The sequence below is a fragment of the Homo sapiens genome, chromosome 15 (assembly GCF_000001405.40).
Source record: "Homo sapiens chromosome 15, GRCh38.p14 Primary Assembly".
Lineage (NCBI taxonomy): Eukaryota > Metazoa > Chordata > Mammalia > Primates > Hominidae > Homo > Homo sapiens.
In genome coordinates, this window is record NC_000015.10 from 88,233,041 (window position 1) to 88,252,655 (window position 19,615).

Here is a 19,615-nt window from a genome sequence, read left to right on the forward strand (position 1 = left end):
TTTATAAATCTCTGCCTCTTAATGATGGCTTCAAGGCTGAGGGGAGAAGGGACCATTAAACTCACTGAATAAGTTAATGGGGCAGAGAGAATCTATTTCGGAGCCACCCCAGGCTATTTTCCTCTGGAGCTAAAGCCTGAATAAGCAAAAAGAAAAAATTAAAACCGTAGAGCACATTGCCAATAAATAACCCCCCCGCCCCCAGTGTAATCTCTCAGTATCCAGGACTTCATTTGCAGAGATATTATAATGCAGATCACTTGTGAAACACCTCTGGCTTCACACAGTTCCACCTGCAGTGGTGGCTGGGGGTCTTATTATCTGTCCATATCCTTCCCTCCCTGTGAAGGCAAGGGAATGGGCTGCTGCCATACAGCCTGCAGGCTCTTTAAGCATCCTGGGGAGAAGTGGCACCCCACGAAAGTTAGCACACTGAAACCACAGTTAGCATCCTCGAAAGAGCAAATCCCAAGACCCTCTAATCCCCCAGCTGCAGAGACTCCCCCAAGGACTTCCTAGTTGCCACAGGCCTCCTTAATTTGCAGGCTAGCCCTACTGTCCTGAAACTCCAAAACTCTCTTCCTTCCACAAAAACCAAATGCAGGGTCTTGGTTTCTTTTGCCTGGAGAGGTCCACCTCTTCAGAAAACTGCTCTCCTCTCCTCCCTCTCCTCCTGGTCCTCCTTACTCTCCCTTCCTTCCCTGCCCCCTTCCTCCCTACACCTTGCTCCTCCTCCCCTGACATCCAGTGCTCCCCCTCCCTGCCTTGTCCAAGAGAATCTCTACTCCCTCTGGCCTCCCTAGAACAAAGCCAGAAACATGGCTCTCAGGGCTGTGAAAACAAATCATTAAATAAGTGAGAACTGTTGGTAAATGTTGAGTCCCACTAGACATGCGTTGTTTCCTCTTTAATATTTAAACATGTTAATTAAATCTCCGAATAAACAAATATATTTTAGCAAGTGCCATTCCTGAGCTGGAGTCCCTTTCTGCCACCATGCACCTCGATGCCTCTCGGGTGGGACCAAGCCTTCTTCTCATGGCAAAGGAGGTCCACAGTCACCGTCCTGTGCCAGGCCAGCCTGCCAGGCAGCCTGGACCTTCAGTCAGGAGACGATGGACAGCACCCTAGTCCAATCACATCTGCCCCTCTCAGGATCCAAGGTTGTCTCTCATCGCCCCCCGCTCGACCTTCAAAAAGCTCCCATAGCCTACACATCTCCAGACTGCACTCTCTTCCTTCATTCATTCATTCTCCTTCATTGATTGATGCATGCATCAGCCCTGCATTTATATAGCAAGGCATATGCTAAACACTGGAAAGACAAAGATAAGCTGGACCAAACACCAGCCATCATTATAAGAAGCCCATATTCCTTGGGCCTGCACAGTCTCTCCCCTCTCGACTTCCCCAGCCAGAATGAACTTTCTTCAGCTTCTTAAAGACACCATTGCTTCAGGGGCCCTCCTCACGCTGCTCCCTCCTCTAGACTAGCTCTCCATCGCCTCTGCCCTCGCCATGTTGCTAGTGCCTGCTCATCCCTCCAGTTCCAGCTCAGTTGCCCCTTCCTCTGGGGAGCTTCTCTGCATGCCCAGCCTGGATTAAGCACCCCCTCACAGAAATCTGTACAACCTTGTGCTTCTTTCTCCAACACATTTATTACACCCATCACTTCAGCTGTAAGTCGAATCATCTCTTGTTTAAAAGGAAAACCCTCTGGGACTTCCTATTTTGCTAGGACTAAAATCTAACCCCTTCCCACAGCCTGCATGACCCTGCTTGATCTAGTCCCTGCAGACCTCTCCAACCTCCCACTCCCACCAGCGCACCCTACTCAGCCCTGCTCCCAGGGCCTCCTATCCAGCCCCCGACACACTTCCAGCCCCTTCCAACCTGAGAGGCGTTGCACTGGCTACGCCCTGGGCCTGGAAACTTCTGGCTCCAGTTCTCATGAAGCTCTGACTGTCTGTCACTGACAGATCGAAGCTGGACAATCCATTCTCCGAGAGCCCAGACGCCCTACCCTTACACAAAGGCAGCCTCCTCACCTCCCCATCATGCCTCATAACAGAGCACTCTGTTGAGTACCTTCACGGAACTTCTTACTCCTGATATGATTGTACTGATTTCTTTGCTTGCATATCAACGGATGGCCTCTATCCACTGAATTGTAAGGTCCCAGGCCAGAAACGTTGTGTCTTGCACATCACAGAATCACCAACATGAATGAGTAAGGCCTGTGTCGCTGTCTACCCTACCCACAATAGCCTCCAGGCTCTGAGCTGGCAGGCTGGGCTGGTCGCTGGACCCACGCAGTCAGTACCCTGCCGCAGACAGTGGACACTCACTGGTCTCGGCCTTCCCGGAACCCACATCTGAGCACTCAGCAAGCAGGACTCGCAGCTAAACCATTGTGGGAGAGAGACACAAGCCCAGGGGAGTTGCCTTTCTGGTGGGACCAGGCCCTCTTCGAGTGGCATTCATCTATCCCTTGCACATGAGACTCAGCCTGGGCCCCTGGGAGGAGCAGCACAACTGGGGTGGATGGAGAACCCCAAGGAAACGACCCAGCCCTGCTAAAGAGCACCAAATGCCCACCAGGCCCTGGCTTCCACAGTGTCACAGAGAAGAAGGGAGCTCTGAGAGGACCCTAGGGGGATGTCCTTGGGCTGAGGACCCCAGAAGGTGCCCTTGAGAAGTCAGTCATCTGTTTTCTGCCTGCTTCACTCCTCTGCAAAAAGCAGCAAGAAGCTGTGCACCACAACAGGAACCCCCCTGGGGCTTTGAGTCAAACAGGATCCCAGCTCTGCCACCTACCAGTTGGATGACCTTGAACAAGTGACGCCACCCTTCTTCCCCTCAATTTCTTCCTCTGCAAGGCAAAGATACAAGGTCCTGTTTCGATGAGTCACATAAATGTGTCTCTCCTAACCCAGATTAATCAAAAACAGTCCTAGAGTGTAAACTGTTACAACCACTTCGGAAAAAGGTCAGGCAGTATCTTATAAAGTTAAACATAAATTTATCAGACATCCCAGAAATTTCACTCCTGGGGAATGACCCAAGAGAAATGAAAGCCTACGTTCACAAAAAGGCTTGTACAAGAATGTTCATAGCAGATTTATCCATAATACTCCAAAACTAGAAACAACCAAAAACAAGAGAACAGATAAATTCAGGTTACCCATACAATGTAATATCACTTAGCAATAAAAAGGAACCAAACACTGATATCTGTAACAATGTGGATGAATCTCACAAACATTTTTGACAAACAGATATTATATGATTCCATTTCTATGAAGCTGTAGAAGAAGGAAAAGTCATCTATTGTGAAAAAGCCCAAAACAGGCTGGGCACTGTGGCTCATGCCTGTAATCCCAGCACTTTGGGAGACTGAGTCAGGAGGATCACTTAGGGCCAGGAGTTCAAGACCAGCCTGAGCAACAAAGTGAGACTCCAGCCTCTATTATTAAAAAAAAAAAAAAAAAAAAAAAAATTGTAAAAAAGAAAAGAGAAGAAAAATACCAACACGGGAGCTAAGCTATGAAGTTGCAAAGACATACAGAGGGATATAATGGACTTTGGAGACTCAGAAGGGGAAGGACGGAAGGGAGGAAGGGATTAAAAAAAAAAAACTACATATTGGGTACAAATCTCTACAAGTTCACACTATAAATTCGCCCATGAAACCAAAAACAACTTGTACTCCAAAAGCTACCAAAATTAAAAAAAAAAAAAAAAAAAAACACTACTCTCAAAAGTAGATAACAAAAAGAAAAGAAAAGAAAAATCTCCCAAACAGTGGCTCCCCCTGGGGAGGCAATGGCAGATGCTGACTGGGAAGAATGTGGGGAACTTTCTGGGGGATGGTAATGTTCTGTCTCTCACTGGGTTTGGGTCCCACAGGCGTGCGCATCTGTCAAAACTCAGAGAATGCACACTTAAGAGTAACGCATTTCATTAAATATAAATATTAGCTCAAAAAGTGAAAAAGAATCGAAGTCTAATTTTATGACATACATGCTGAAGTATGTAGAGGGAGCATGCCAACATCTAAAATTTACTCTGAAATGCATCAGAAAAATAGGATGGGTTAAGGAGTGGATAGAGGGCTGGACAGATGGATAGAGGATGTGATAAAGAAGTAGAGTGCCATATTAATTGCAGAGTCTAGGGCGTAGTTTTATGGATGTTCACAGCAAAATTTTCAACTTCTCTGTATGTTTGAGGATTTGCATAATAAAATGATGGGATGGGAGGGATCCTATGTATTTACATGTCCCAAAGAAAACAATTCCATAGCCCTATTTTGTGACCCATTGTTTTGGGAAGTTCTTTCTTACTGCTAAACCACATCCCCAGAGCTGAAGGTCCCAGCCCGTTGTCATTGTGTGGGGGTGGAGGGATGCCTAACATGGTTACTGACACAAGTGTGGTGCTCACTGGTAGCTGTTGAAATAATTAGTTAATTAATTCATAAGAGAGCTAGAAATCATGCACTTTATATATGAGTTGTTTTGCTTATTTACACCTGAGATCTAAATTTAAAACACAGAACTGTCCTGTGGACCCTTCTCAGATGTTGCACTTGCTTGCGTGTGTCCTTCCCTTTATCCACCTCTATTCCACCTAAGACCGTGCAACTTCTTCCACAGGGCTCTCTTGCTTACATGACCGACTAAGCAGACACTTTGGGCATTCGCAACAAGACACACCAAAATAAAATGAGAAAAAAAAAATCAGCCTTGATGAACTTCCACAGAATTCTGCACTCAGAAAATCTAAAAATGGTGCTTTAAATTTCATCAGGTATGCATTTTTTTGTTTTATGATTGTTATAATATTTTTGTGTTCCCCTCAAAATTCCTTTGTTGAAGTCCTAACCCCCAGTACCTCGGAATGTAACTGTATTTGGAGATAGGGTCTTTAAAGAAGTAATTAAGTTTAAATGAGGTGATTGGGGTAGCCCTAATTCAAAATGACTGGTGTCCTTATAAGAAGAGGAGATTAGGACACAGGCACACACACACAGAGAGAAGACCATGTAAAGATACAGTGAGAAGGCGACCGTCTGCAAGCCATGGAGGGAGGCCTCAGAAGAAACCAACCCTGCCAACACCTTCATCTTGGACTTCCAGCCTCCGGAACCATAAAAAACAAACATATGCTTTTTAAGCCACCCAGTCTGTGAGACCTTCTTATGGCAGCCCCAGCCAAGAAATATGAGGATTTTAATATTGTTTTTATTTTAAATCATAAATCTAGTGGGTATAATAATCTTTTTATCGCTTAGGGCTTCTAAAGTTTCATTATAATAAAGAAAAAACAAAGGATCTTGTATTGAATATTTTATCTACTCATCACCTGGAATTAATACACATTACCATTGGGTCAAATGCCAAGATCTTTAAAAAAAGACAGAATATAAACATTACAGGTAAAGTTAAGAGCCCTGTACATACCCTTCTTTTCCTCTCTCCCTCTCTCCCTAGAGGCCAAGACTGTCACGAAATTGGTTTGTATTCAGCCCACGATTTTATCTTTCTGTCTATAAACAACGTATTATATCGGTCATTGTGATGTTTAACGTGTATATATGGTATGTCACTCTGCAACTTATTATATTTTTCACCAGCATTATGTTTTCAAAATATAGCCATGTTACCACACAGAGAACAAGGTTTTCACTGAAACTGCTGTACAGGATTTCATCATCTCACTATGCCGTGATTCAGCTCTTGATTCAAATGCCTCCTGATAACATTTCAGCTTGTTTCCAGTTGTTTTGCTCTTGCACACACTTCTGCAATAAACATGGGAACATGGGCTCTGGAGTCAGCCTGGGCTGGAATCCTCACTGTTATTTACCGCTGTGGCCTTAGACAAGCTCTTGCATCTTTTGGTCTCCATTTCCTCATCTGTCAGACGAGAGCAGTTCTCCACTCAGACAGTGGCTGTGCGGATTAAATGAGTGACTATATACACTGCCAGGCCTGAATACAGTGCTTAACACACAGCAGCTGCTAGCACTATGAGCTCCAGGAAGTGGAAAGATAAAATAATCCACAAACATGGGTCTGGGCAACAAAGAACCTCTCAAAGGTGGGACTGGAGTGACAGGGAGGGCCCAGATAAGCAAACTGGAGGCCAGAAGCCCTCCAGGCAGGGGAAGTGGCCGGATCACGAGACTGAGAGTGAACAATGCTGAGAATGTTTGAGGAATGAACAGCAGATCAGCTCACTGGGGCAGAGGATTCCCATGGGGAATAACGAGAGGCAGGACTCCAAAGAGGAGCTGCAGCCTGAACATGAACAGCTCTGAGTGCCACAGAGAGAAGTCTCAACTACACCTTGGGGGCAAGTGGGAGCCAAGTAAGGTTCTTGAGGCGCAGTCACACAATGACTTACTCTACCTCCCAGATCATTTTTACAAATCCACTTGAGTCTGGAATGGCATTCTGTAACAAGTGTGTTTTCATCTCTCAACTACAGGTTGGATCACGCAGGTCAAGGCAGGTTCAGGTCAAGTCCAGCCCTTAGGGAAAGGTCAGCATGGGGCCAAAGTCAGGAGAGAACCAGGCACCACATCAGGGGTGCAGAGAGAAGAGGGGAGAGAGAAACAGACAGAGAACCAAGCACCAGGACAAGGCCTGGCAGAATGTGCTTGGGAGTGGGCTGGTATTCTTCAAGAATGGAAGGATGCAGGCTTTTTGCAGTCTAGGAAATCTTATTCATAAAAATGTTATGCAGAATACCACCCCGCCTCTGATCTCACTCCAGGGAGTACAGTGTGAAAGCCATCAATATCAACAGTCACTCTCAAAGTGTGGTCCTGGACTCGATGCGAATTCTCAGGCCTGACAGCCAAACTTCGGAATCAGAAACTCTGGGGTGGGGCCCAGCGGTCGGTGTTTTAACAGCCCTCGGTGATGCGCATGCACGCCAAAGCTTAATAACTCACAGGGTCTGGTCTCCAGAACACACATATACACACACAGCGACACACACAGACACACACACACACACACACAGGAACAAGGTTCCCACGCACCTGTGTGCAGGAGCACAGCCCCCCTCCCCTCCCCCACAGGATTGCCCCCAGAGAAACCCAGGGCTGCTGCATCTGTATGGCTCCCCTACTTTCCCATCCCGTCCCCAGCCACCGCCATAGAAACATCACAAGTCAGAGCTGGAAGGGATCTCAAAGATCACCTAGTCCAGCCCCCTGATTTTAAATATAAGAAAACTGAGACCTTAGAGACAACAATGCCCGATCCCGACACACCCGATAAACTGTGGCAGTGATGGGACACAGGCCAGCCCCATCCTGCCCTGACGCAGGGGACATTCTGTGAGGATGTGGCCAAAAACACCTGTGTCCATGAAACTCAAGGATCTCAAACTCCACTGAGTCCCAAGGGCCCCTTCTACCCCACCCTCCTTACCACCAAAACAGCACGTCATGTGTCCTGTCGGCCCAAGGGTGCCTGCTTACTGTGGAGGAGGCTGGGGCTGGCAGGAAATGGAAAGGGGTCTGTAATACAGGGCTGCCCCCCTGGCTCTGGAGACAAACCTCAGCTCTGCCACTTCCTAGCAGAACCACCTAGGGCAAGCTACTTAGCCACCCTGTGCCTCAGTTTTCTCCCCTGTAAAATGAGGATGATCGTGGGACCTGCCATGTCACTGTGCTGAGAATGGAAGCGGGTTAAAATAAAAGTCCCCTTAAAGGAGCCCCCAGAGCAGTCATCACACAGCATTTGCTGTCACTGTGATGAGCTCAGTTTTCTCTAGAAGATTCCTCCAACGGGCTGCCCTGCTAAGGGCAAAGCCCGAGGCCCACAAAGGTGTGGAGAGCAATGAGAATGGTGTGCCCAGCATTCTGCATGGAGGCATGTGTGCCCTCAGCAAGCTGGGAGGGTTGCTGTGGGCCTGGGGGACATTCTGGTGCAGGAAATGAGCCTGTTACAGTCCACAGGTCTTTACTGAACACCTACTAGGTGGGGGCTCTTGGGGACAGAGCTGAATAAGCCTCAATGCCAGCCTTCAGGAGCTCACCACACAGTGAGGAAACAGGAACATTAACAAGCTAATGCCATATAGGACACATCGTGGGGCTCCCGAGGGTGTCAGCTGGACTGAGACACTAGCTGTGCCGCCCTCTTCTGTTCAGTGACCTCCTGGGCAGGTAAGAACATAGAGGGCAGTAGAGGGCAGCAGGGTGGGGCCTCAAGGTCAGAGCATGCCTGCCCAGACAGCAGGCAACAGCAGTCCTGAGTGAGTGACAGAAGGAGGGCAGGGGGATGTCAGTCACCTGGATGGGAGACACAGCCTGCAGCTCAGGGATGGGGGTGATGGGCGCAGGGAAGAGCAACCAATCATTTCCAGGGAGACAGAACATGACCCCGGAAAATGAACCCTAGATGCAAATCAGGGAGTCATGAGGTCACTCTCCTGCCACTTCTGCTTCCCCAGGGCCCAGGGAGCTGCTCTGGGCTGGAAAGGAGGAGGGAGGGTGTGCCCTGGTCAGTCTCACCTAGGAGCAGGGGGCATGGGGCAGGTCAGCCGCTGGTTGGGCAGAATGCCAGCTGGGTGCTGGGAGCAGGAAGCGGGGCTACCCTTCAATACCACGTGGAGCTACTCTCTTCATCTGACCTGCACCTCGCCTCACCCAGGCTCACCTCCACCCAGCGCACTGGGGAGAAGGGCTGCCCTATATCCACAGCCCTCTGACTTTTCTGCCGAGAACATGGCCCCGGGAATGGACGGAATCTGCCGTGCACTCTCAGCAAAGCTTGGCCCACCTCCCCTCTCCAGAGGTCGATTTCCAGGTGCAGGGAGAGGCCAGGAGAGTTGCTGCTCGGCTGCACACATCCTAGAACGACAATGGAGACCTAGGGACAATGGAGACCTCAGGGGTCCTGCTCTCCACGGCTTTCCCAGCTCTCCCAAGTGGCTGGCCCATCAGAGACTCTCCAATAAACCCACGTTGGATAAATGCACAAATAGAGAAACGAATGAACGGTTGCCTGGGAAGAGCACGTAGCCACCTGCGCATGGACACACTGATGCGTGGCTTTCCTCCCTCCCTGTCTCACTTCCGCTCTCCCTCCCAGGCTTCCTGGGGTCACCTTCCAAATAAACTACCCACAGCCCAAATCTTCATCTCACACAGGCAGAGTGACAGGGAAAGAAATGAAACTCGCTTCTCTTGCCTTTCCGCGTGGGGCCTCTGTGAGCAACAGCAAGGCCAATGAATCAACTTCCCAGCCAGGGGGCACAGTCTTGACAACTCACTCTACTGTTATCACATTCAGTACACCTGGGAGCAGGTAAATCTAGAATTTTCAAAACTCCATTTAGGAAAATTGCACCCTCTCCACCTTAGGGAAGCCACATTTTCATATATATAAATTTTTCTTTAAACTTTACATTAGATCCGTTTTCTAAAATTCTGCCCCCGCTTCTCTTGAGATAACCCTTTGAGCTGTAGATCATTTGTCTAATACCTGCCTCCCTCCATTCACCTGTAGCTCCAAGAAGGAAGTATCACGGTCTTTTATTTTGTCAAGGCTGTGCCCCAGGGCTCAGCATGGGTCTGGCCCACAGCTGGTGCTAGGCGCTAGGATGAAAGGGGGTAGACTCTCCTCCTCTTTGGGTCCCACAGAAGGAAGAGCCAGGCTGGCCCTGCTAGCGCATCTGCTCATTCTTCCCCAACAGTCCAGATGCTAGGATGGGCTTTGGCAAACAGCAAGGCAGGCGGCCAGACACCTGGGCACCCCACAGCCTAGGTACAGATGCAGCTCAGCATTCACTGTGGGCTGCACACACCGCCAATGCCAGGCCCCCATTAGCTGTCTGTTATGCACTTGGAAGACAGTCCTTTGGAAAACAGAATATGAGGCCGCCCCTCCAACACCTGCCCTAGGGATGGGAGCCAGAAGTCCCCATAGGCCATAGGGCCCTCCCACGGAGGAGGAGGAGCTGCAGCTGCAGGCCCTAAAAATTAGGCCCTTCTTTCCACCCTCTTCCTTCAACACCAGGGACTTTGAGGAGCCCTGAGCTGAACTCCTCTTCCATTTCTTTCTTGCTCCTGAGTGCCTCAAAGACAAGGTTTCTGCCAAGAGAATAAAATTGCACCCCTCCTCCACGCCCTTGCCCCCTCCCCACTTCTTATGTTATTTCCCTCTCTGTGTCTTATCGCCACATTTGTTCAAATGACTGCCACTTAAGAGGTGGCAGGGAGTCAGAAACACAATCTGGAGCAAAGCTGATATTAAATAACTTCCTGAGCCTGGCCCGTCTGCCAACGCTCCCTCCTGGATCTCAGGTGGAGAAATGAAGAGGCTGCAAGGATGAGAGCCAGGGTCACCCCAAACCAGCCTCAGAGCTACTCCTCTGCTGAGAGGAGGCTGGAGTTTCTTCACCAGTAAAGCCCAAAGCTTAGCAGTGACCCCTACCCCTGCTTCTCACTTGATCCCATCCCCCATAGCATGCACACACACACACACACACACACACACACACACACACACACTGAGCAAAAGGTATTCAATCATGTCTGACACTCAAATTTAAGCTAAAAGAGGCTTTTTTGTCAACCAGACCAACCCCTACATTTCCCAGGTAAACAAACTGAGGTTCAGAGATCTGGAGTCTCTTGGCTAAGGCCAACCAGATAGACTGTATGAAAGCATGTCAAAAAGAGTGGTGCCCCAGGAAAACACCAGAAAGGCTCTGGTTTTTAGGTGCCAGGATTGTTTCATCACAATCAACTTAGTCAGTTGCCCATGTGGTTTCTCCAGTTGTGACTTCGTACTGTGGGCCCCAGCAAGAAACATCCCTAATAGCCATCATCACATGAATGCCCTCAGAAAAAAAATATCTTTAGCACCTAGCAGTTGAAGGGGAGAAATTCTGCTAATGAAACCTCTGAAGCCAATATCCACTAACCCTGACTCAGTCTGACCTGGCCTGGACAATCCCCACCACACCACCTGCAAGATCAGAATACACTTGCTGTTCTCCATGCCAGCCACTGGGTGTCACTGCTGCCCCCCCATGAATTGGAACCATAGAGCGTTCAGTAGGGGGTAAAATGACCCCAGCAGGCCAAGGGGATCTCATACATATCTCCTGGGTGTGACCTAACTTCATATTTCTCCCAGAAAGAGATAGATGGCCAACCATGTTCCAGATGCTGCTCCAGATGCTGTTCTATCATGTTCCAGATGCTGTCCCCACATCATGTATTTTAATCCTCACAACACCATCTCATAGCAACTCTCCCAATAACATCTTACTTTGCAGGGGAAGAAAATGAGGCAGAGAAAAATTAAATAACGTGCTCACAGTTTAAAAAAGCAAGCAAGGAGGAGGGCAAGGATTGGAACCTGAGACAGATGCCAAATTCCATGACCTTTTTACTACACAATTTAGCCTCCCTTGAGCTATCAGTCTCAGTGCTATGGGCTCTGGCTGAATCAAGCTGGTTTGCCATGACCCCAGAGAAGATGGCACCTGGGAAAAAACCAAGTGGGGCTCAGACTTTCATCAAAGGTACAAATCACATCAGGACAGGCTCAACAGCCCTTCCCTCCCTGCAGAAATCATGGTCTAGTGCCCTCTTGTGGCTTTATATGGAACTGGGATGAATGTCCATGGGAGGCTCTCATGAGTGGATTGAAAGGATTTTAGGTCATCCTATCCCATTGGATTCCTAAATTCTTTCTACCAGGGATGGTCCTGAAGCCCCCTCTTCAGACAGACTTATTGGATTACAATAGCCAAGAGGGAATCAGCTAGTGAATGGGAAGCTATGTAAGGCAAGAATAGCAATAAAACCACTTGGGACAACATCTGCAAGAAGCTAGATGCTACTAAATTACCCTAGATAGAGATTTCTGGCATCCAGATTTCTGGGGCTGCAGAGTGGGGAAGGCAGGTAGTTAAAGGCTTTGCCTGGGACACTCTGACACTTGGTATTCCAAAGGAGTCCCTTAGCAGGAGCCATAACAATCTCCCTGTCCCTGTGGAAGGCATGTACCTCAGCCACTGTGTCCCTTTTTCCAAATACATGCCATCTTAGTCCTTCTCTTGCCTCCGTCAGCTTTGTCCACATGCTAGTTCCCTCATGCAACTTCCTCTAATCCCATTCTTCAAGGACCTGGAAATGTCACTGCCCATCACCTCTTACAGACTCCTGTGGACTGCTCACCAGCTTGGCTTCTGTGGAGCCATCACATGCCAGGCACCTACCATAATCTCATTCAACCCTCACAACCTCTCTATTAGATGGGTATAGCTAACCAGATTTTTCAGATGAGGAAACTGAGGCTCAGAAAAGTTAAGTAATGTGCCTAAGCCTATACCAGGGCAGAGCCAGGATTTAAACTGAGTTTTTTGACCAAAGAAGCCTCTACTCTTCCCACTACACCATGCCACCTCTCAGACAAAGGGACCATGAAAAGTTCGGGATGCAGGAATTGGTCTAACCAAATACCCTGGATTAGAAGATTAATCTGTTAGGGTGTGGAAAATGAGCTAGAGGCGGAGAGACTGGAAGCAAGAAGAACAGATGAGGGCTATAAAAAGTATCTATGCTTGTGGGGATGAGGTTCTGGGGTGTAGTAATAGGAAGACAGAGAAAATAGTTTTACACACACACACACACACGTGCTCATTGAAATCTTATAATAGTCCTGCCTTATGTTTATTATTTTCATATGAGAAAACTGAGGATCAACAAGGTCAAGTAGCCAGCCCAGGGTCTCAGGATGTAAGAGGCAGAGTCATGATCTAAAGCTTCATTTAGTCGTTGCCATAAATAATTAGGGTTGTATATGTAAATGATCTCTGGCCCAGTAGAAGGGATAATGTCAGCTTCTTTCCTTCTCTTCAGTGGACCAGATTTGAAAAGCTATCAGAAATAAGGAAGTGGGGAAAGATGGACCACAACAGAGAGAACACTGCCTGCAGCCCCAGGTCAGGAAGCTGGGAGCAGACCCTCAAGAAAGAGTCACAGGCCCCAGACCAGAGAGCTCCACACCCACCCCAAAAGCAGCAGACCCTGTCTCTAAAGCTGATAACCTTGTTAGTAGGAGGACACTCATTTGTGCATGGAACAAGACAGCACCTGCTCAAATACAAGACTGCCTGGAACAGACAGACGAGCCAACGATACTCTCAGAAGCACTGTCAAAACCAGCCAGTCCAGGCAGGGCCCATGGCCCTGGTTTGCAAGGCACTTTCGTAGCCACCTCTGTGTATGGTTATCTCCTAAAGCAGACACGGGATCTGCAGAGGTTAAGAGAAGGCGCCAAGCTCTCATCTCTAGTCAATGCCAGGACCTGCTATTTTCTGAGCACTACTTGTCGTCCGGTAATTTCCAAGCTTGGGTTGGTGGGGGCAGGGAGAGGGGAGAGATTCCCCCACACTTCAGCCAGGGCATCAGACAGCCTGAGAGCCTGTATAAAGCTCGCTTCCTCCATGATACTAGCCCCACAGTGAAACTATCTGTCAACTTCTCTATTAAGCCTGTGGGTCTTCCTGGGCTACCTTCCATGCATTCACCCCATTACCCTCTGTGCAAATGTGCTGATCTCTCCTGCTGCTGCTGAGAGAAGGCTGGAAGGAGAGCACACCAGGTGGCTTTCCTCCATCCAATGCACTCGCCCAGCCACCTCCTTCCCAGGAAGCCAAAGGCTCATGAGTCAGAAAGTCCGGGTCCTGGAGTCTCACATCCCTGGACTGCAGAGATACAATGGAAGCAGGGTCATCTCGGCGGAGAGATGCCCCTCATAGAGGAGAGCTGACCTCTCTGCTCAGCCCTGGCTCAGGAAATGCTCTGAAAGCCAGGGCTGACAGTGCACTTCTCACCAGGCTAGCGCCACACGCCCGGCTCCCGCCCTGGGAAGCCATCAGCCCAGGACCGTCTCGTGCGCCACACTGCCCTCTGGTGGCCACCAGGAGTGTAGCCGCAGAGGGAAGCCAAAATCTTTTAAGGTCTGTTTACAGAGACCTCAGACACGATGTGCACAGAACACAGAAGAGACGCACTTGTGCCTGTGCCAAGACTCCCCCAGATACACGCACGCAGCCCTGTTTCCCGCGGCAGGTAGCCGGGTTTAGGACTTCGAAGCTACTATTGCTCCCTTCGTGTTCTCCTCTTCTCTGCAGCACTCTAAGAGCTCCTTTCCCCGCCTGCCTGTAAAAGCCCGAACCCCTCAGTCCCAGAGCAGACACCAACAGGCGGATGGAGACCCACACCAGCTAGCGAGGCAGGGCCCTTCGTTCTGGGCTGCCTTGTGCCAGGAACTCACTGGGCGATTGGGCCAAATCAATTCACCTCTCTTGATTCCTAAGTTCTTTCTCTGTAAAACAGTGTTTGGCCCCAACATTTTCTGAGGCCCTTTCCAGATCTAGTAATTTATGGTTCAAAGTCTTGATCTTCTCTCTAACTCAGAAATCTTCCCAGTAGTCTAGAAAAGGAAATAACCAACGTGGTGCCCAATTATTTACAGAGCCTAGCGAATACATCATTGCATAGGTCTGAACATGACAGTGACCCTACGGGGGTGCCGGGCTGGAGAGTTCCATGACCTCAGCTCTCAGAAGTGCGAGGCCAGTGGCTGAGCGATCATGAAGCAAGCTCACACAGCCAAGAAGCAGCAAACGTGGAAAATGCACCAAACCCTGCCCCACAGTTTCGGCTGTTTCACAGAAGAAAGTTGTATCTGTCTCCCACACTAAGAGCTCATCCCTATGGAGAGAGAGATGGAGCTTCCATGAGCAATGAAGGTAGAGAGGCGGGGTAAGGTCGCGGGGGGATAAAGGCTGCTTATTGTGGAGAGGACCAGGGAAGGACGCAGAAAGAAGCTCTAAACATCAGCTTCCAGCTCCAGCTGCCCAGCGCTTTAGACACCCCCCTTTTGCTCTGCACCCAGAAATGCTCCTGGCACCCCAAAGCTCTACCTGGGAGAAGCCACTCAGCCCTCTGCTCTCCCATCCAGGCTCTCGCTGGCCATGAGCACCAGGGGCATAGTCCTGCTGACCACGGCTCAGCCCAGAGAGGAGCTGGCTGGGACCCAGCCACCAGCTTTCTGAATCTCAGCCAGCCTCAGCTGGCACCTGTTCTGCTGCGGGCTGACCTGACCTCAGAGGCCAGGACATCATGGGGTGGATGAGGAGGCCTGGGAAGAGGGTGTGGCTGAGACACAACTTCAGGAGAAACTCCCTGTTGGGAACAGGTCAGAAGGAGAGACCAAAAGCCTCCCCCACTACTAAGAGGCCTGCCTGGGACAGTGTTGGCCACACTGTTTGGCCAATACTACACCCATAATTATCCTATGTGCCTTCCCCTTATATCCCAGCCAGGGTAACTCCCACCCAAGTAACTGAAATGTTGTAAACTAAATGATTCTCCTAGACTTTTACATCAACTCTTTTATTTATTTTTAACTTAATAGTAATATATTTGTGTGTGTGTGTGTGTGTGTGCATGTGTGCATATATATGTGTATGCTAGTATGCATAAGAGTATTGCAAAAGAGCATAGGCAGTATAGCTTAATATTTAAATGCCAGACTGCTTTCCCATTTACTGGCTGCATGAAATTAAGTGAGTTAAGTTCCTTCTCTGCACTCAGTTTCCCCATCTGGAAAATGAGGCTAATAATAGTACTTATCTTATTGGGGTTGATGTGAGGCTGCAATGAGGTATTAGCCTTAGAGTGCTTGGCACAGTGTCTAGAACATAGTAAGTGTTTCAGAAACGCTAACGATTGTTATCATGTACTCAGTAGATGCTAGCTGTCACTAGTTATGTATAGACAGATTTCTCTTAGCCAGACATGACCCAGGGCACTGAACTTCAACAGGGTGCTTACATAATGTAGTTGTTATTATTATCCATTTCTTATAGATAAGGAAATTGAGACCCAGAGGAGGAAAGGGATTTGTTCAAAGCTAGGGAGAGGCCATGCCTGGAGGAGCTGCTGGGAAAACTGGGCTTAGGAAAAGAGCAGCTGCCAGAGTCCTCCATGCTTGATGATGCGTGTCTGGGGAAGGAATCCTGAATCTCCCACCACCCAGACTCTGGGACACTTATGATGGGACAAGCCAGGCAGGAGGACTGGGGGCAGAGGTGAGGCCAGGGGAAAAGGACAGGCTCCCAAGTCTGCTGAGCCCCAGGTTCCCCAGCCCTGTATGTGAACAGAGCTCAGCAGAAGGCCTCATCGAGTTGATTTCTAATTGGTGTGGGCTGCAAGCTGCAAAGAGCTCTGGGGCTGCCAGTCTCACATAGTTGCTGCCTCTGGGGACCCTGAATTTGGAAACATTGCCTCAGAGGGAGACACAGTCATGGGGGAGGCTCTGGCTTTGACAAAGTGCCCAGAACAAGAGCCAGCACTGAGTAGAAGGCGGCCCCAGCACCTGGGAGTGTGCCCGGGAAGAGAAGTCTTCGAGCGACCCAGGGACCCCGGCTGAGTCCCTGCCCACTCTGGGCCCTTGGACCCTCATGGGTGACATGAGGGAGAAGATGACTGCAGTGGTCCTTTCCAGCTTTGAATTCTGGTAAGCCCTGCACTTAGAGGCGGCGGAAATGGGAAGAGCCTCCTTGGGGGTTCTCAGGACTCCACTGGGCCCTGAGCTTTGGTGTTAGCCTCACTGGAGTCTTCACTCCTTATGACCCAACCCATCAACGAGCAGCTTCCAACACACCGGGCCACCAGGAGGATTTGTGTTCCTCAAAGTTGAGGTCAACGAGGTTCATAGAATGACAAATGACATGAGCTGATCACTCAGTTCATCACCAGCATCTGAGTGACTGAGTCCAGCCTCTATCTGGGCCACTCTTTGACCAGTTGCTGAACACTCAGCCGCCCTTTGCAAGTCCCTCAAAGATGGGTCATTCCCGCAATGCTGCCCTTTGGGTGGAAAAAAACTTCCTAGATGAAAATGCTCTGCACCTTCCTTCCCAACAAGCCAAACCCCAGGGCCTCAGGAGACCAAGGTCCCCAGGTTTGATCCTGGAAGTATCTTTCTCTGGGGCCGTAAGTATTCCCGCTTCCAAATCTCATGTCAATAGCCCCTCACATTTCTGTCTTCCTCTCTCAGGCGTAGTCCTAATGTCTGGCTGAAAGGGCCACGCCCAAGAAAGAACAGAGCCAAGGGGACCCACAAGCTGGTAAGAGAAGCCCCAGAAGAACCACAGACTCCTGAGAGCCTCTGGACTTTTCCATTTGTGAGCTATGACAACATGACCACCTGGGACACTAGATTTGTTCTTTATTTTGTTTTCTTGATCTGTAAAATGGGACTGTTAAGCTCTGCTTTTATATGCCAAGCAACTGTCACAAAAATAAACTCAACAATTGTAAACTAAAAATAATGATATGACTGATGGGGGCATTCGTGGAGATGAAGAATTTGCTACACAAGGATAAGAAGGTAGGATCCCAGTAGGCACTAGACCATCGTTTCATAAGAGCTGGCCTGGCCCCTGCGAGGGGGCTTTTGGGCCTTGGGAACTCTGATCCGGAACTGAGATCCTCCACCCCACCCAGCTTATTCCCTCCTCACATTAACCATACCCCCCTATTAATCAACCGTTCCTTGGCCCAGCACCAAGAGAGAGCCAGGGGCTTCAGGACCACCTCTTCTGTCACCACCCTGTCTCCTTCTCAAGTGCCAACCCTCCCAATCACAAGAGCAGTGGGTACCAAGCTGTATTGATCATGCATGATTTAGCAATCAAAAAGTTTATTTTATAAACCCCAAACACTCATATTTATTACTTTATATGTTTATATATCTATTATCTATACATTAAATATGAAATATCCTCTTTTCTAGGCAAAAATAATTTGCAATAGAAGTTCCAGTGTTTTCTTCTCACACCCAGTGGAGAGCTGTGCTCCAGCAATGGGCTGAAAGCTTTGCAAAAGAACATCTTTTCCTGGCCCTGAGCCCAGGGTGCAGATGGGGAGTCACGAAGCTGGGTGTCCAGGCCCTAATGAGAGGCTGCAGGCCCCAGCACATTCTTGTTAAATATGCCATTTGGTCTGGGCAGTTGACTCTAAATAGTGTCATGTGTCACAAATGGTGTCAAATTCTGGGTGGCCTGAGTTTGCTAGAGGTGGGAAGGGAAGGAAGAGGAGAATAACCACTGTCCCAAGGTCAGTGAGGGAGTGCACCTCCTCCTGGCACCATCACAAGGATCACTGCCATCCCCAGGAGATGCCCTTAAAAGTGGCGTGGCCGAGCCTCCTGGGGGAAGTTCTCTGGGCCCTGAGATGACATATGTCCAAGTTGGAAGAAACACTCTGCCCTGCGGCCTCAATTCATAGTTGAATTTACAGGCTCTGAAAGTCTAGAGTGCCCTGATGGAGCTCACAGGGAGTTAGGGGCAGAGCCAAGGTGGGATTCACATGATCCATCCCTTTCTCTGCCACCAGCCAACTGGAGGCCCCGAGGGGAGGCTGGAGACCATGCCTATGACTTCTGTGCAAGCCACCCATGGGAGCACATGGGATGGGGACCCAGGCCACAGTGGAAATGCCGTGATATTGGCAAGGGCCATACCAAAGGAGGGCCTCAGGCTACCCACACCCACCCAAGAGCCAGCTGAGTTGGGGCCCTGGTCCTTCTACAGAGTTGGACAGAAGCAGCAGCTGGCAGGGACTGGCAAGGCAAGGACAGGCCCTCCCTTTCTCACAGCAGCACCTCCTGTTCAGCCAGGCAGGAGGGTAGTAGGAGCCTTCTAGGACCCTAAGGAACCTTCCAGGTTGCAGGCTTAGCCTTCCTGGGGCCAGTAGATGAGGACTTTCAAAGCAGTGGCCAGGTTGGGCTGGTTTTTGCCCAAAGCTGTCATGGCCTCAGGTCCCATGGAGGTGCAGAGCAGATGCCCTTGGCCCCAGGGTGTATGACAGAAGCTTGACCTGCTGGGCTTCCTGGGGCAGGGGGTCTTGGCTCTGGAGCCACCAATAGCCTTTCCTTGGTGGAAAACCCCAGGGCCTCAGGAGACCAAGGTCTCCAGGTTTGATCCTGGAAGTACCTTTCTCTGGGGCTGTAACTACTCCTGCTTCCAAATCTCATGTCAACAGCCCCTCACATTTCTGCCCACCTCTCTCAGACCTAGTCCTAATCCTGGGGTTCTGAGCACCAAACTGTGCCTACCGAGAGTGAGCCCCATGATGCCTTTGGGGCCTGGCTCATACCCTGCTGGGTCATTGTCAAGGCTGGGTCTCCCCTTGATCCTTAGAAAGAATGAGACTCAGGAGCCAACATGACGGCCAAAGCCCCGAATGATCCTTCAGCCAGCCAGAAGAGGGCCTTCAGGGAGGGCCATGGAAATGAAGGGACCAGAGAGCTGCCAAATGCCAGGGACCCTGTGGCGGCTCAGAGTGAGACCCAGCTGGCGACTCAGAGTCCCAGCTAAGAGCCCGTGGTCTTTGCAAGCCGAGGTAGCCAGCCCCAAGCATACCTGGTCCAGCCATGCCATCCTCTCCCACTTCATCTTCTTTCTAACAGCTAAAGACCATACCACTCCAACCCAGCCCCAGGTAGGCCTGGCCTAGCAAAGCGGCCCAGACAGTCCACCATGGCCACCACCCTCC

General features: G+C 49.7%; 1 protein-coding gene across 29 annotated transcripts in view, besides 1 other annotated feature; it reads right to left on the minus strand.

Moving 5' to 3' along the window:
• The window catches only part of NTRK3 (neurotrophic receptor tyrosine kinase 3), a 396,989-nt gene that overhangs the window by 373,290 nt on the left and 4,084 nt on the right, over positions 1-19,615 (minus strand). Inside the window, exons 1-2 of one of the 29 annotated variants that reach the window (XM_017022245.3) lie at positions 19,483-19,574; positions 2,818-2,872 (exon numbers count right to left, since the gene is read on the minus strand). The gene's annotated coding sequence lies outside the window, so the exon portion shown is untranslated. 29 annotated transcript variants of the gene reach the window in all.
• Positions 8,062-8,563: an enhancer, noted in NCBI's record as "H3K4me1 hESC enhancer chr15:88784333-88784834 (GRCh37/hg19 assembly coordinates)". NCBI's record gives its function as "activates a minimal SCP1, AML or CMV promoter by ChIP-STARR-seq in primed H9 embryonic stem cells {active_cell/tissue: H9 hESC(primed)}" and the evidence as "EXISTENCE:reporter gene assay evidence [ECO:0000049][PMID:30033119]".